Source organism: Homo sapiens, chromosome 8 (assembly GCF_000001405.40).
Source record: "Homo sapiens chromosome 8, GRCh38.p14 Primary Assembly".
NCBI classification, from domain to species: domain Eukaryota; kingdom Metazoa; phylum Chordata; class Mammalia; order Primates; family Hominidae; genus Homo; species Homo sapiens.
In genome coordinates, this window is record NC_000008.11 from 93,801,600 (window position 1) to 93,819,411 (window position 17,812).

The window sequence follows — 17,812 nt, forward strand, 5'->3', positions numbered from 1 at the left end:
CCATGTTGGCCAGGCTGGTCATAAACTCCTGAGCTCAAGCTATCCTGCCATCTCAGCCTCCCAAAGTGCCAGGGTTGCACGTGTGAGCCAGATTGAAATATTTTTAAGAGAGCTTATTCTTAGAGAATTAGGTCCAGGTGGTGGTATTCAGTAATCTGTGGATTAACTTTTTAAATATATACTTATTTTAAATTGATGAGACTTACTCAAACTTGAAACTACAGGGATAGAGTTAGTAAAGGACAGCTGACAACCAGAAAAAGAAGACAAATATATTAGAATTGGAAACAAGATAGAATCAAAAGAGTATAGGGTTTGATGTTTATCATCAATGTTAAGGAAATATTTTGTACAATATACCGATATATTTTGTGAGTATATCAGATTCATCTGGATGTAGAGAGTCTAAAGCAATATCATCTGAAGCTTTTCATATTTGGTTGAATATAACACAACCAAAATCAAAATAAGAGTGACTGAAATCAAAGAGAACCTTGTCTTTCCCATGAAAAAGATAAGCAGAGGTCCAAAGTTCAGGGCTGGAGTGGAATGGTGGCTTAGTGCTACTGTCAGGACCCAGAAGCCTGTCCTTCTGCCCAGCCACAAGGGACTTCCATCTCCACAGTCCCTTCATGGTCCATAATAGCCAATGAAGTTACAGGAGGGAATTGAAGTAGGTAAGCTCACCTTTTCTTTAAGAGCCTTTTCAGAGGTGCCTTTCAACATCTTCTTGGCTAGAACTTAATTGCATGGCCACACCTAGCTGCACTAGACTCTTTCAGCTGGGCAGCAGTATATCCTGCTCAAGGAAGGGATCTGTTACTAAAGAGAAAGGATTGTTGGGACAGCACCTAGCAATCTCAGACACCACCATCTAACTTCATTCTTTGCTTCTCACTTTGCCATTAGCTGGATAGTAAAGCATTTCTCTCCATGGTAATATTCTAAAATGATCAGTGTTTATATATTTGTCAAGAATCCTTAAGGGTTCCTTTAACAACCTGTTACAGTTTCATAAATTTGTCTAAACTCTCCTTGATTCTAATAATTGTTCACTCCTTTTATTTCCTTAAACCCAGCCTCTTCAGCTTTTAAGTGGTGTCTTTTAATTTTTAAACCTTGAATATTGCTGTTTTTCACATCCTTTAAAGAGGTTTAAAATATGTATATAGAGTATGTAGGAAAACATTTTCAGCAGTCGGCTGGTGTAGATTCATTTATCTATTCATCCACATATTTGAGTGCATTTTATGTATTGGATGCTGTGCTGAGCTTATGGATCTGCTGTTACAGGAACAAATGACAGATTGTGCCAAGTGCTGTGAAGAGAATCAGCAGGGACATGAGATAGAGAGTAACTAGAAGGGAGGGGAGTGGAAGATAGGAATGGGGGACAGTGGGGACAGCTTTAAATAGGGGAGTTAGGAAGTTTTATCTTTTCCTGAAACATGTCTAAAAAGATGTACCATGTAAAATTTTTATTTATAAAATTTCTGTTTCTAGTATTAAATCTAAGAAAACACAGGAAACCATTCCATATGAATTTTTAATACTTTGTAGTCAGAATACTAGATATATGCTTTTTATGTGCTGTTCTGGCAGAGAAAATTCATTTGAAAAGTAGAGCATTTTCTCATGTCTTGAAATTTAGATGAGCAAAATTGCAAACCCAAACATAAATCTGACCATCGATGCATTGATATATCCTACATTTTTAAAAGACTTTTTCTTTCTTCCCACGTGTTTGTCATAGCTTGTTTTAATGACACACAACAGTTTTCAGAACTCAAAATAGGCTCCCTCAATGACTCAACACAATTCTAAAATCCTCCTCCCTTTGACAGAAGAGTCAGAAATGACAAGTAGGACTTTATCACATAGGAACTGTTAAAGGCCACTGTGCTTTTGGTTGGAACTTTTTTTTCTTAAGATGCTACACTGTGGCTGTAAAAGAAAATTAAAATCCTAAAAGCTAATAAGCATAAACTTGACTTAATGTTTCAGGTCGTGTTCTTTGCTGTCTTTTATGAGAGATTTATAGAAGATAAAATTCGACAGTTCGTTGATTTATGCTCTATGAGTAATGTAAGTACTTTCTGACTTCATCTTGCAACTGTTACTTTCCCTTTTTAAAGGTCATGAGTTTGTTAAGAGAGACTTTAAAAGTGATTTGGTATGATTGAATTTTTGGGCCAATTTTCCACTGGTTGTTAATTCCAGAGATAATTATAATGAGCTACAAGTTAATACTTAAACTGCCTTAGTTTTTTCATTTTTTCATTTTTTTTTTTTTTTGAAACGGTCTTGCTCCATCACCCAGGCTGGAGTGTAGTGGCACCATCTTGGCTCACTGCAACCTCTGGCTCTCAGGTTCAAGCAATTCTCATACCTCAACCTCCTGAGTAGCTGGGATTACAGGTGTGCACCACTATGCTGGGCTAATTTTTTTTTTTGTATTTTTGGTATAGATGGGGTTTCCCCATGTTGGCCAGGCTGGTCTTGAACTCCTGACCTCAGGTGATCCAGCCTCCCCAAGTGCTGGGATTACAGGTGTGAGCCACTGTGCCCAGCCTGTTTTTTTCATCTTTATTTGCAGTTTCTTAATTATGAATTTCTTATGCTACCAAGTAGTTCATTCATTCCAGTACCCCTGAAAATTGTTTCTATGTCAACCCTGTTTCTTCTTTTCTTTTCTTTTCTCTTTTCTTTTCTTTTTTTTTTTTTTTTTTTTTTGAGAAAAGGTCTCGCACTGTAACCCAGGCTGGACTACAGTCGTGCAGTCGTAGCTTACTGCAACCTTGACCTCCTGAGTTCAAGCTTTCCTCCCACCTCAGCTTCCCAAGTAGCTGGGACCACAGGTGTGCACCACCAACACTCAGCTATTTTTTTTTTTTTTTTTTTTGTAGAGATAGAGTTTCCCTATGTTGCCCAGACTTGTTTCTCCCTTTCTTGGAAAATATCTTCAATCTCTTTTTCAAACATTTAAAAAAAAAAAAAACACAAACCTTATTATCCTTCATTACTTTATTATCCTCTTTATATATTTCCCAAGAATACAATCTTCATTATTTTGGGAAAAAGAAAGCAATTTTAAGGAAAACTTAATTTTTTATTGTTTTGCAGATGAGTTGCTATTTGCTTCTTTTTATTCTCTTTTTATAGATATCAGTGTTTCTGTTATCCCACAAATGTTTTGGATATTACATTCATGGTAGATCAGTACATGGGCATGCAGATACTAATATGGAAGAAATGAATATGAACCTTAAAAGAGAAGCGGTATGAAAATGTTTTACATCTTTTTGTTTTTAAGTTGAGAAGTGGATTCTTATAAATGCTGGATTTGTTTTAAAAAAAAAACAGTCTTCATTGATAACTTTTTTTTCTTTTTGAGATGGAGTCTCCCTCTGTCACCCAGGCTGGAGTGCAGTGGCGCAATCTCGGCTCACTGCAGCCTCTGCCTTCTGGGTTCAAGTGATCCTCCCGTCTCAGCTTCCTGAGCAGCTGGGACTGCAGGCGCCTGCCACTACACCCGGCTAATTTTGTATTTTTAGTAGAGACGAGGTTTCACCATGTTGGCCAGGCTGGTCTTGAATCCTGACCTCAGGTGATCCACCCACCTTGGCCTCCCAAAGTGCTAAGATTACAGGCTTGAGTCACCGCGCACCTGGCCTATTTATCACTTTGATAGTTGCTAAGGACTGCCAGGCATGGTGGCTCACGCCTGTAATCCCAGCACTTTGGGAGGCCGAGGTGGGCAGATCACGAGGTCAGGAGATTGAGACCATCTTGACTAACACAGTGAAACCCTGTCTCTACTAAAAATACAAAAAAATTAGCCGGGCATGGTCGCGGGCGCCTGTAGTCCCAGCTACTTGGGAGGCTGAGGCAGAATGGCATGAACCTGGGAGGTGGAGCTTGCAGTGAGCCGAGATTGCGCCACCGCACTCCAGCTTGGGCGACAGAGCGAGACTCCGTCTCAAAAAAAAAAAAAAAAAAGAAAGTTGCTAGGGACCAACTCACCCTGAACATTCATAAAGGGAAAGAATCTAATTTTAATTTTATCCTGTAGTTTCTGTATGAACTGTATCACAGTAATCAAATAATTCATGAGGGAAAGTTCCTCCTTATAGAAGAAAGTAGAAGGAATTCTAAGTTAGAAAAATTACCATTTTGCAATGACTAATGGATTGATGAATGTAAGCTGCCATTATCAGTGGATGCTAAACGATTAAGTGATTGTTGACAGGGAACTTTATAATGAGGGATCAGGTTGACGTAATTTAGACACACTGTAAATAAAAATAAGGAAAACTGACATAAACACTTCCTGCCATGATGCAGTAGGAAGTATATAATTTCACCAATGAAGTATTTTTGCCTAAAAAACTGAATCTGAGTATAATCAACCCTCTAGCTCTAATCACCAGTTTATAGGAAATACAAGCGATAAAGGGACAAATTAAATAGCACCATAGGAAGTAATTAGCCAGGTCTGGAGTATAGGCTGCCTCACAGGATAAATGACTCAGTGTCTCCAGACAAATCAATGACATGAAAAGAAAAGGAAGGATAATGGTGGCAGTGTACGAACTATTACATTATAAGAAAGGTTTGAAAAACCAATCTGGTACAATGTGTGGACTTTATTTGGATCCTGATTCAGACAAACCAACTATTAAAAAAATCTGGGAGATTTTTAGTGGACTAAATGTTAAGGAATAACTAATTTTGTTAGGTATGAAAATGGCATGATGGTTATTTATTTTAAAGTCCTTATTAGAAATACATACAAAGCATTTACAGATGAAATGACATGGTCTGGGTTTTACTTTAAAATACTCTAAGAAAAAAGAAAATTTGGGAGGATAGATGAAACAAAATTGATAAAATATTAGTAATTGCTGAAGCTAGGTAATGAGTAGTTTACTATTCTCTCTACTATGTACATTTGGAAAACTTCCATAATAAAATTTTTTAAATAATAAGATGTGCTTAAGTGGAAAAAACAAGAGGATTTAGTGATTAAGGGGCCATACCTGTGACTTGTAAGAATTTGACACATGATAATGGCATTTCAGAGAAGAATTTATTTAATACATTGAGCTGGATCACTTGATTAAACAATAGAAATTACCTTGTGATTAAAAAGTTAAATGTAAAACATGAAGCCATGAGAACCTAGAAAAGAATATTTCAGACTGGGAGATGATATTCTAAGGATAAAGAATAGAAATCATCAAAAAGGGAATATTAATTGATGTTACTTTATTAATATAGTACATTTGCATATCAAGCCATTATAAAAGTGAATTAGAGTAAAATACTTTTAACAAATATGACAAAGAAATTGATAAGAATATTGAAAGTTATGCAAATCAAGAAAACACTAAATTAAAATCTCAATGGAAAAATGACCAATAGACACTAATAAAGCTCTAAAAATATTTTAACTCATAATCAAAGAACTGAATATAAAAATAATGATTTTCCCCTCTTCAAATTAGCAAACTTTTTTTGAAAAGCTAATACTTAATAGCATCAAGGACACAGTGAAATGGGCAACCACAAAGCTACTGGTGGCAGGTTGAATTTATGCAGACCTTCTGGAAAGTGTTTGGGCAATGTATATACCAAGAGCTTTTTAAGGTTCATAATCTTTGATTCACTGATTTTATGAATGTTAACTCAAGGAAAAATTAACAATATGAACAGCTACTTAAATTCAGGATCTTTATCACAGAGGTTATTTGTAAGGGGAAAAGTATGTAAAAATTGGAGAATATTAAATAAATTGGTTTACCTTTGCGGTGAAATCTTAAGCAGATGGTAAAATCATATTTTGTAGAATATTTGATGACATGGAGAATTGCTCAGGCTATAACGTTAAGTGAAAAAGGAGTCATTGTGATCCCAATTTTATGCTATTTATATGTACATGCCTTATAAAAAATACTGGAAATGAAATTCCTTAAGATATCTATATTTCTGGGTGTTGAGATTTTAGGTAATATTTTTATTTTCTTTTTTGTATTTCTCTTTATTTTGTAAATTTTCTGCAATGGCATGAATATTTTTAATCAAGAAAAAAATTTTTTAAATAGAGAAGTTCACTACATGTATTCTTCCTTTAAGTGTATAGAAAGCCAAGTGCCATATTATGTTTTCGGGTTAGATTTAGACAAAGAAGGAAAATATTAACCTGTGGAGTAGGTAGACAGGCTTTATGAAGGCCAGAGAACTTGAGTCGAACCTTGAAGCATCAATCAAATCAAAATTTTTTTTACATATTTGTGGTTGTCAGGATCCAAGTTGTGTCAGGGAAACCCAAAATGGATATGGATATCTGGTTCATAACATTAACTGTTTGGTCATGTATCACTATGTTTTATTGGAATTAATTAAGGAAGCATCTTAAAAATGTTTAGAAAACAAAAAAGATCATTTGCAATTATAAGACTAGTTAACTCCAAAGCAAGACCTTTCAGCATACATTAAAAGAGCAATAAGGTCAATTATAAAGGAAGCTAAGAATATCAATATACAATAAACATATATATGTCTTTATATCATCTCCTTTACTCTGTTCTACTTAAATATATATATATGCTCTACCTAAAAATATATATATGCTCTACTTAAATATATAAATATATGTGATAAATATATAAATATATATACCTATTATGGATTATATATATTATCATATATATTATAGACAATAAATTATAGATAATAAATATATATATTTATTATAGATATATATTTATCTACTATAAATATTTATATATTATATATAAATATATTTCTCTATTATAGATATATATTTATCTATTATATATTTATTATATATAAATATATATTTATCTATTATAGATATTTATCTATAATAGATCTATTATAGATGAATATATATATTTATAATCTATATATATCTATAATCTATATATATCTATAATATATCTATTATAGATAAATATATATATATATTTAAGTAGAGCAAAGGAGATGATATAAAGACCTGCAAGGGAGTATGAATTAGAATAAAGTAGAAATTAGCAAAATCTGGGAACCTTGGATAATGGTAGAATCTGTTTCTCAAATACAGTTTCAGTGAATTTCACTTAGCACCTGAATCTTGTAATATGTGATAACAGCTAAAAAAAAGTTCTGTATTTTCTTTTTGAGGCAGGAAATTTTTTATAATTTTGATCTTAACTTAAATTCTTTAACTTTTCAGGAAAATTTGTGTAGCCAGAGAGGTTTGGTACCCAACACAGATGGTCAGACTTTTGAGATTGCAATTTCTAACCAGATGAGACAACATTATGACAGAATTCATGAGACACTAATAAGGGTTTGTATAAAGTACAGTTCAGATATATTCTGTCAATATTTCATGTTTTTTAGATACCAAGAACATAACACTTTGTATTCATTTCTCTTTTTTACATTAGAAAAATGGTCCTGCTAGACTACTGAGTTCATCAGCAAGTACTTTTGAGCAGAGTATAAAAGCATATCATATGATGAATAAATTTCTTGGCTCCTTCATTGACCATGTATGTATGTCAACATTTATATTTAAGCTGGGATCAAATGCAATTTTTAAAAAGTTAAGTGGGAATGTCAATTATTTCTTCAAGTCAACCAAGTCAGTAAACTTAGAACCCCCACCTTAAGACCTTCCCTTTTTTTGTCTGTCACATTCAATACTTAGGAATAATATATTTTTAAAAGACATTTCTAGCCATTAACAAACTATGGCTTAGGGATAGAATTAGGTTACGCAAAAGTAAAATGAAATTTTATGTGTCTGTTAACATAATCATGATTCCCTTAAACTATGTCTGCACTGGAATTTTGTTACCAGTTACCAAAATATTACTGTATTATTCATTATTGAAATCCTTGTGTTATGCTATGATTGTATTTCTAAAAAGCATTTTATAAATTGATTTTCACTATATCTAGCCCTAAATACTACTAAGGACATTTAAAATTTAAAACATTCCTGTAGAGAATTTTGTTATAGGTTTCAATGTAGTAACTTCAGTCTTTTTGAAGAACAGATTTTCTTTATATACTATTCATTTTTCATTTTCTCTCCTGCTGATTTTACATTAATTGCAAAGCATTTATTTCACTACTGTTTGTGAAATGATGCTGTCTTTTTCTTTATTAGGTTCATAAGGAAATGGATTACTTTATAAAAGATAAGTTGCTTCTTGAAAGAATTCTTGGAATGGAATTCATGGAACCAATGGAAAAAAGCATCTTTTACAATGGTATCTTCTAAATCCCTTTGTAGAACTTGATAACTGTTTTCAAAGTTTGAGAAAAAAGTGCTTGTAGATATTTTTCTTTTTTTCTTTTTTTTTTTTTTTTAGACGGCGTCTTGCTCTGTTGCCCAGGCTGGAGTGCAGTGGCACGATCTCAGCTTACTGCAAGCTCCGCCTCCCGGGTTCATGCCATTCTCTTGCCTCAGCTTCCCAAGTAGCTGGGACTACAGGCGCCCGCCATCACGCCCAGCTAATTTTTTTTGTATTTTTAGTAGAGACGGGTTTCACTGTGTTAGCCAGGATGGTCTTGATCTCTTGACCTCGTGATCCGCCCACCTCGGCCTCCCAAAGTGCTGGGATTACAGGCATGAGCCACCACCCCCAGCTGATATTTTTCTTTTGGTTTAATAATTTTTTGGCTAGGTGCGGTGGCTCATGCCTGTAATCCCAGCACTTTGGGAGGCCGAGGCAGGTGGATCACCTGAGGTCAGGGGTTCCAGACCAGCCTGGCCAACATGGTGAAACCCGTCTTTACTAAAAATACAAAACTTAGCCAGGCATGGTGGCAGGCACATATAGTCCCAGTTACTTGGGAGGCTGAGGCAGGAGAATGGCTTGAACCTGGGAGGCAGAGGTTGCAGTGAGCTGGGATCACTCCATTGCACTCCAGCCTGGGCAACAAGAGTGAAACTCTGTTTCAAATAATAATAATAATTTTACATAAAAACAAAGGAAACATAATGAACTCAGTTAACCTCATGAATTCTTTTCTGTGTTCTATTTTATTATGTCGTGTAGCAGGAAACAAATACATACAAGATTCTATAAGAAAGTATTCAGGTGAATTTCAGAATCAACAGTCCACATGGAAGAGATAGTAAAACAAATAAAATTCAGATTTTATTGGACTGTTTGTTTAATGCCAAACTATGAAACACTTAAAAGAATAACATTTGTGATTAATCTTTAACATTTAATTTTTTATCTTATCCAAGTTTGTAAAAATCACTATTATTTGTGACAGGAGTAGTGATTAAAACTGGTTTCATATTAAAAAGATAGTATACATGTCATTTGTAGTATGACTGATAACCTATTGTATGAGTAAGAATGGAAGTGGTATAACCAGTGCCCTGGCCTAGATATCATTTACCCATATGTTATTGCATGCCAGATATTGTGTCAGTCTGAGATACACAGACGAATGATCCCTACCTTGGGTATCTTGTTTAACAGACTATGGAAGACAGACATGTGAATAAGTAGGGTGGTACTGCCACAGAAGTCTGTGCAGGCACAGGTTATGCCAGGGACAGAAGGGAGCATAGAAAATCTAACCAGATATGAGGTAAAGCCAGAAGAGGCAACCTGGAGAAGTTTGAACTGGATTTTAAAAAATCAGTAGCTGTTTGTCAATCAAGAGGATCAAGGTAAGAGAAAGAGGCAAAGACATTCATGCAGACAGGGAAAAGGGGATTCAAAAACAGTGCGCAAAGTGCATTATGCACTTACAAACTTTATAAAGTCTGATATGAAGTGGGACACAGTGGAAGAGAGTACTTGAAAGATAAAGAAGGCAGAGACCAAATTCCAAAGTCCTTGCCTGATACACTAAGGAATTTCACTCTATCCTGTAAACCTGTTGTTTCCAAAAAAAATTTTTTTTTATTTTTTTGCCCCACAAGATGTATATAAGTTGATCACGGAGGTGTGAAAAGAAAATATTAAAATGTCTATTTGTATATTTGCAGTTTAATCACCCTTAATCTATTTTTAAGTTTATATTATATAGAGTAGTAATTAATAAAATATTTCTATTATATCTATTACGGGTTGCATGCTCAACATCTTATTCTGATAGAGATGCATGATCAAAATGATTTAGAAACCACTGCTAGTGAGCGCCGAGATCGCACCACTGCACTTCAGCCTGGAGGACAGAGCAAGACTCCGTCTCAAAAAAAAAGAAGAAACCACTGCTAATGGGGCCAGGTGCGGTGGCTCATGCCTGTAATCCTAGCACTTTGGGAGGCCGAGGCAGGTGGATCACCTGAGGTCAGGAGTTCGAGACCAGCTTGGCCAATATGGTGAAACCCTGTCTCTATTAAAAATACAAAATTAGCCGGGCATGGTGGTGCATGCCTGTAATCCCAGCTACTTGGGAGGCTGAGGCAGGAGAATCGCTTGAACCCAGGAAGCGGAGGTTGTGGTGAGCTGAGATCGCACCATTGCACTCCAACCTGGGCAACAAGAGCAAAACTCTGTCTCAAAAAAAAAAAAAAAAGTAAAGAAAAGAAAAAGAAACCACTGCCAATGAACATGGATATCATTGAAGGGTGCTAAGCAGATCTGATTTGTAAATTGGAAGAATTACTCTGTCAGTAGGTTACAAGTTGAGTTGAATAGATGGAAAATTGTAACAGCATAATTTAGACATTAGGATTATAGCTTTCCTCCAGGGCATAGTGGCTCACATCTGTAATACCAGCCCTTTGGGAGGCCAAGGCAGGCGGTCACTTGACCCCAGCAGTTCGAGGCTGCAGTGAGTTATGATCATGCCATAGCACTACAGCCTGGGTGGCAGAGCAAGACCCTGTCTCTGTAAAACAAAAACAAACAAACAAAAATATTGTAGCTTTCAAAGTCTTCTGGTCTTGGATTCAAAACCTGACTCTACCATTTACTGGCTTTGTGAACTTTGAGAAACTTGCCTAGCGTTTCTGAACTTTAGTGCCTTCTTTGTAAAATTGGTTACAATCCTCTAAAAGTTTTGTGGGGTTATTATGTGTTAATATAAAGAACCCAGTAAAGTATCTGTTATGGGTAGGCACTCAGAAAGGAAATGTTATTATTGTTATTATTTTTTTTGTTTGAGATGGAGTTTCACTCTTGTTGCCCAGGCTGGAGCACAATGGTGCAATCTTGGCTCACTACAACCTCTGCCTCCCAGGTTCAAGCGATTCTCCTGCCTCAGCCTCCCAGGTGCTGGGATTACAGGCGTGTGCCACCACACCTGGGTAATTTTTGTATTTTTAGTAGAGGCGGGGTTTCACCATGTTGGTCAGGCTGGTCTTGAACCCCTGACCTCATGTGATCCACCCGCCTCAGCCTCCCAAAGTGCTGGGATTACAGGCATGAGTCACCGTGTCTGGCCCTATTATTTTTAATAATACAATCATCACCTTCTTTCTTCCTTCTTCCTGCTTTTTTCTTCCTTTCTCCTTTGTTCCTTCTCCTGCAGTCTTCCTTCCTCTTCCTCCTATCTTCCTCTTCTTTCTAAGTATGTTCTTCCATTTCTCTATCTGCTTTTTTTTGGAGATGGAGTCTCGCTCTGTTGTCTAGGCTGGAGTGCAGTGGCACAATCTCGGCTCACTGCAACCTCCGCCTCCCAGGTTCAAGCAGTTCTCCTGCCTCAGCTACCCAAGTAGCTGGGATTACAGGCACCTGCCACCACACCTGGCTAATTTTTGTATTTTTAGTAGAGATGGAGTTTCACCATATTGGCCAGGCTGGCCTCGAACTCCTGACCTCAAGAGATCTGCCCACCTCGGCCTCCCAAAGTGCTGGGATTACAGGTGTGAGCCACTGTGCCCGATCTCACTACCTTCGTCTTCATCAAGAGATGATGAGACTATGAGCTAAGGCAGTAGCAGTGGGGCTAGAGAAGAAGAAAGGATTGCCAGAAATGTTAAGAGAAAAGAGTAGTCAAAAATTATCCAGACTTCTGGCTGTGTGACTAAGTGGGTGGTGGTGCTTTTCAATAACAGAGGCAATACAGAGGGAGGATCAGGTTTTGAGGGAAAGAGGATGAATTTAGTTTTCAGTATGTTGCATCTTGAGGTACTTCAGGACATCTAGGAAGAGGTATCCAGTAGGCATTAAATATAAGGGACCAGGTTGTAGGAGAAAGTAGAAGCACACAATAAATTGAGGAGTTGCTATCATATGAAGTCATTGCTGGAGCAATGTTAGTAGAAAATCACCAAGAGAGAGCATGTAAAACAGGTTTTTTAAGATTATATATGCAAGTGTAATGTGCATATTTTGTAAGGATATAACTTATAGATCAGTGAATTTTCACAAACTGAATATACCCCTGTAACTAGTACCCTTTCAAGAGAGAACATTACCAGCACTCCACATGCCCTCTTGTATAAAGCAGATGTTCCTAACTGGGTGTCCATGGGCTGCTTCAGTGGTTCTCTGGATTTCCCTGAAATTGTTTAATTGTTTGCAAGAGTTGTATATGTATACTTTTTTTTTTTTTTTTTTTTTTGAGACGTAGTATTGCTCTGTTGCCCAGGCTGGAGTGCAGTGGCACGATCTCGGCTCACTGCAAGCTCCGCCTCCCAGGTTCATGCTATTCTCCTGCCTCAGCCTCCTGAGTAGCTGGGACTACAGGCGCCCGCCACCATGCGTGGCTAATTTTTTGTATTTTTAGTGGAGACGGGGTTTCACCGTGTTAGCCAGGATAGTCTTGATCGCCTGACCTCGTGATCTGCCCGCCTCGGCCTCCCAAGTTTATGTATACTTTTTTTTTTTTTTTCCTAATGGAAAGATCTATAGCTTTCATCGGGCTTTTTTTTGTTTTTTTTTAGTGACAGGTTCTTGCTCTGTTGCCCAGGCTAGAGTGCAGTGGTGCAATCATATTAATAGCTCGCTATAACCTCAAACTCCTTGGTTCATGCAGTCCTCCCATCTCAGCTTCCCAAATAGCTAAGACTACAGGTGTGCACCAGCAGACCCACCAGACCTAGCTTTTCTTTCTTTCTTTTTTTTTTTTTTTGTAGAGATGGAGTCTGACTATGTTGCCTAGGCTGGTCTTGAACTCCTGGCCTCAAGCAGTCCTCCTGCCTCAGCCTCCCAAAGTGCTGGAATTACAGGCATGAGCCACTGTGCCCGGCCTCATCATAATCTTTTTAAAAGGGTGTTCACATCCCAATAAGGATGAAACTCGCTGGTGGAGTGAGAAGAGGTCTTAGAGCAAAACCTCAGCGGGACTATTTGAGATAAATTCTTGAACTCTTGAACACTATGTACTTACTCTATGCCTTGCTGGTTTTTTCTCTGATTTACTGTATCTTAGGGAATGTTTGTAAGACTAATTTAGCTTTTAGTTGTATAAAGAAATAGAGAAAGGCTATTTATTAAATGGTCTTTGAAACTTACACTACTAGCAATTACCAACCATTGGTCCTAATGTTAAAACTGCTTTTTAGAAGTTTTTATGAGTTTTTAACTAACCTCTTTTAGATGAACAAATCTTAAAATGTTTGTTTATTTTTGTGTAAGCCATGAAGTATTGTATACAGTATGTTTCTAATGTGCTGTTTTTAAACATCCAGATTTTGTCACCAGAAGTTTATCACAGACTTGTTCCTTTTTTAAATTTCTAATTTATATTTTCTAAATTTTTTTAATAGATGAAGGTTATTCTTTCAGCAGTGTCCTGTATTATGGAAATGAAGCTACTCTTCTTATTTTTGATCTGCTGTTCTTCTGTGTTGTGGATTTGGCTTGCCAAAATTTTATTTTAGCATCCTTCCTTACATATCTACAACAAGAGGTAAACTTTTAAAATTTTTCTACATTTTCCTTCATTTTCTTGAGAGAAATATGTTAGAAGTAGATATTTTCATAGCAGAGAGTAACAATGTCTACTTTTACTACAATTTTGTAAAGGTTTAGAATATGACTAACCCCACCAAAAGAAGGAATAACATTTCAACCAACTGTACTCTGTCCTTTAGGGTCAATGAAATACTGGGGTCTAGTGGAGGGCATAAGTTGCTTGATTATACATGGAAGAGGAATCCTATAGGAAGACACTTAACTGCTAGTCTCCTAGATGCTACAAGTGAACAGTAATTAGAGTCCCATCCACCCTCTCCAGACGTTAAGTAACAAAAAAACAAGCACTGGAGAGCTAGCTCAGGGCTCAGCACCAAAGCTTGCAGCTTTGACACCTCCCCCACCTGTGTGGATAAAAAGCAACTTCATGTATGAGTGTGGACCCTGAAATAGAGATTTCAAGAATTGGCAAATCTGTTCTTGAAATGGTGTTATTATCAACTAAATATTCTCCACTATGTCAAAGAAGTATATATAAGTAAGATGCAATTTATTAGTCCTTGACAGTGATCTAGAATTGTGAAGAAATTCTATCTCTAGTGAGTAGATTCTTTTGATGTTTCCGTAGTTTTAGACTTAGAAGAAAGTTGCCTTTCTATATATTTTAAAGTGTATTTCTGTGAACATGAGAGAATTTGTATTATTAATTCATAAGAATTTACTCTAAATGGGAACATACTATGAAACTATGAAAGAAATTATCATCTTGAAATAATTTTATGTATCACTATGGGATTCAGATACCTGATACATGAAAATAGTTGAGAGAATTAGCTAATTTAATCTAGATATTTTAATCGACGTGCATATTTAATTCTGTTTATATTTCTTTTCATTCTGAATTGTTTTAATTTTCCAGATTTTTAGATATATCCGTAATACAGTAGGACAAAAGAATTTGGCATCCAAAACATTGGTGGATCAAAGATTTTTGATTTAACTTCCTGAATAAATAACTTAAAGACTCAGTATAATCATGGCCAAAAAAAAGTCATGATATCAGGTTAGTTTGCCATATTTTTTAAAACTTATAATGCAGACTATTCTGTTTTTGTTTTTTATTTGCAGAAAGATTTATTTTTATAACTTGGGAATATATAACCTGATATAATAGAAAATACTGTTTTCCCATTGTGTGTAGTATTTAATGCAGTAAATAATAAATTAATACTGACAGTGAGGCCAAAAAAAATCTAAATGTTGCTTTCAGCATAATACTTTTTAATGCTAATTAAAACAGTCCCCATCATTTGTCTCTGTAGATTATTTTATAAACTGAGAGCTGCCTGAATCTTCTCACATTGACAAAGTAATTTGATTCCAAGTTTAAGACTAGTTTTCAGTTTGATATTTTCATGTTTTGTGTGCTTATGGTTAAATAAATGTTGAAAGATATTTTCAAGTTTACTTAGAAATTTTAAATTGTATTATTGCTGATTCAATTTGCATCATTCTAATTGCTCATCCTCTTTGGCAGTGGATTAATTCACTGTTGGGTTAATATGCATCTCATGAAATGATATCTTTTCATTCCTTTGTATACCTGTATTAGGTCAGTATACGCTTTCCATGAAATATATTTGCATTTCTAATATAGTTTACATTTATTAAGTTATAACGTATGACATTTTTCCCAATATCATTTTTTATACATTTTAATTACTTAATGTTTTAAGAGTTCTCTTCCAGAGTTTTGCTTTTCAATTACGTTTAAAGACTGTAAATAACAAACAGTAAGGCTGGGCGCTGTGGCTTACGCCTGTAATCCCAGCACTTTGGAAGGCCAAGGCACGTGGATCACTTTAGGTCAGGAGTTCAAGAACAGCCTGGCCAACATGGAAAACCCCATCTCTACAAAAAATACAAAAATTAGTTGGATGTGGTGGCCTGTAATCCCAGCTATTTGGGAGGCTGAGGCATGAGAATAGCTTGAAACCAGGAGGTGGAGGCTGTAGTGAGCCAGATAGCACCACTGCACTCCAGCCAGGATGACAGAGCAAGACCCTGTCTCAGAAAAAACAAAAACAAAACACTGTAAATGTATCATGTTTCTCACTGCTTTCTATGTTAATGCTGTGTAAATACTTAAAATGGAATACTGTATAAATATTATTTATATTTTCTCAGATGAAAATATATACTAAAACATTTGGTATTTCTGTTTTCTGTTTCATTAATGTATATCTGATGGAGTACCATTTAGGAATATAACATTATTGGGGCAGAGGTCCCAGCCATTGCCAAAGTTGAATCTTTTACATTTCCCTGAATCTTGAGGATGACTGAAAAGGAAGTCTTTGAAACTGCAGTTTCTGAAGGATCACAGTACAGGAATGCCTTTATAAAAGCTGCAGAGATAAATACATGTACTTATATGGCATGGATATTTAAAACCACTCACTCAGAAGCATATGAAAGAAATTCAACCATCATTCAACATAGAAGAAGTTAATTTTAGTGCAAAAGTTTTTAAGTATTAAATTTCACAATAAAGGATCAATTGGCTTACTTGCTGATAAATTAAAACAGAAAACATTTAAAATCATTCTAAATTTTGTATGATATTTTTATTTTGGCTAGGTGCATAAAAATGTGTTCAGATTTTCATACACTGTCGACTCCTTTGTTCACATTGTCACAATTTACATTTCCTGATCATGTGCATAATTATTCACTAGATTCATTACCCTTTGTCTATTTCTGTAGTACCCAATCACTATACTTTGACTCTTATATCCCTGATTTTACTGATTTTCTAGAAACATTTGATTTCTCTTCATTTCATAATGAAACAAAACCTAGAGAGGTTCTTTATAAGCTGTTGTGTACTTTGGATGCTCCTTAGAAACATACAGGCCCCTAAAATACTTCTGTAGACCAGTGCCTCTGTTATGGGAGATTTGTAAATGCTTCCTTCTCTGGCATTGCTGTCCTAACTGCCTTTTCAGAAGGCTTTGCTGATGACCTACATTGAGGAACATTCAAAATGATCATTAACTCAGCACTTACAAGCATGAAGCATGTGTTTTTTTTGTAAATATTGACAAATATAAGCTGAGGGGAAATAACTGTAAGTCAAGGAGCAGTGAGGAGTGTGGCTTAATGGAAAGTGCTCCAAATTTAGCAAAAGAAGCCCTGGATTCAAATTAGAATTTTGCCCATCACTCATAAGCTTTGGTATCTTGAACTAAGTCATTTGCCATCATTGAGCTTCATTCTACATCTCTGCAATGAAAATAATATCCTTTGCTTACCACTTGTTGTAAGGATTAGTTTCGTGGGTGTGTGTGTGTGAGACAGAGAGAGAGAGATGGGGTCTCACTCTTATCACCCAGGTTGGAATGCAGTGGCACGATTTTGGCCCACTCTAACCTCTGCCTCCTAGGCTCAAGCAGTCCTCCACCTCAGCCTCCCAAGTAGCTGGAACAACAGGTGTGCACCACCATGCCCAGCTAATTTTTTGTATTTTTTTTGTAGAGACAAGGGTTCACCATGTTGCCCAGGCTAGTCTTGAACTCCTGATCGAGAGATTCACCCACCTCGGCCTCCAAAAGTGCTGGGATTACAGGTGTCAGCCACTACACATGGCCAGGATTAGTTTCTTAGAATGTGCTTTTAACATTGAGTAAACTATGAATGCTGGAATTTTTATTTTTAGTTTAAAATATCTGCCCCAAAATATATTTTTTTCTTGCTAATAAATTAATAATATGATATTAAAACTCAGATTACTGATCTCAATAACTGACCAATGAAAATTCTGAGCCTGCCTTCTTCCTCAGCCACCCCCAGCTCTGCCAGGAAGAGGCCCAGATAGAGGTCACCGATAGATGTAAAACATAAAAGAAGACAACACCCCTGTGGGAGACACAGTTTGTGATAGAGGGTGGAGAGAACAG

The 17,812-nt window shown here is 36.1% G+C and overlaps 1 protein-coding gene across 14 annotated transcripts in view; it reads left to right on the plus strand.

Moving 5' to 3' along the window:
- TMEM67 (transmembrane protein 67) overlaps nucleotides 1-17,812 on the plus strand; it is a 77,810-nt gene that overhangs the window by 46,756 nt on the left and 13,242 nt on the right. For 5 of the 14 annotated variants that reach the window (XR_001745619.3, XR_007060761.1, XR_007060762.1 and 2 more), the window contains exons 22-28: nucleotides 2,005-2,085; nucleotides 3,163-3,279; nucleotides 7,241-7,357; nucleotides 7,458-7,562; nucleotides 8,186-8,288; nucleotides 13,706-13,848; nucleotides 14,773-14,916. Coding sequence is in view for 6 of the 14 variants with exons in the window: in NM_001142301.1 (NP_001135773.1) it covers nucleotides 2,005-2,085; nucleotides 3,163-3,279; nucleotides 7,241-7,357; nucleotides 7,458-7,562; nucleotides 8,186-8,288; nucleotides 13,706-13,848; nucleotides 14,773-14,853 (747 nt within the window). In the remaining 8 variants the exon portion in view is untranslated. Of the gene's footprint in view, nucleotides 1-2,004; nucleotides 2,086-3,162; nucleotides 3,280-7,240; nucleotides 7,358-7,457; nucleotides 7,563-8,185; nucleotides 8,289-9,518; nucleotides 9,713-13,705; nucleotides 13,849-14,772; nucleotides 16,523-17,390; nucleotides 17,640-17,812 lie in introns of those variants that run through there. The other 9 variants (NM_153704.6, XM_011517363.4, XM_006716686.5 and 6 more) reach the window with 5 other exon arrangements.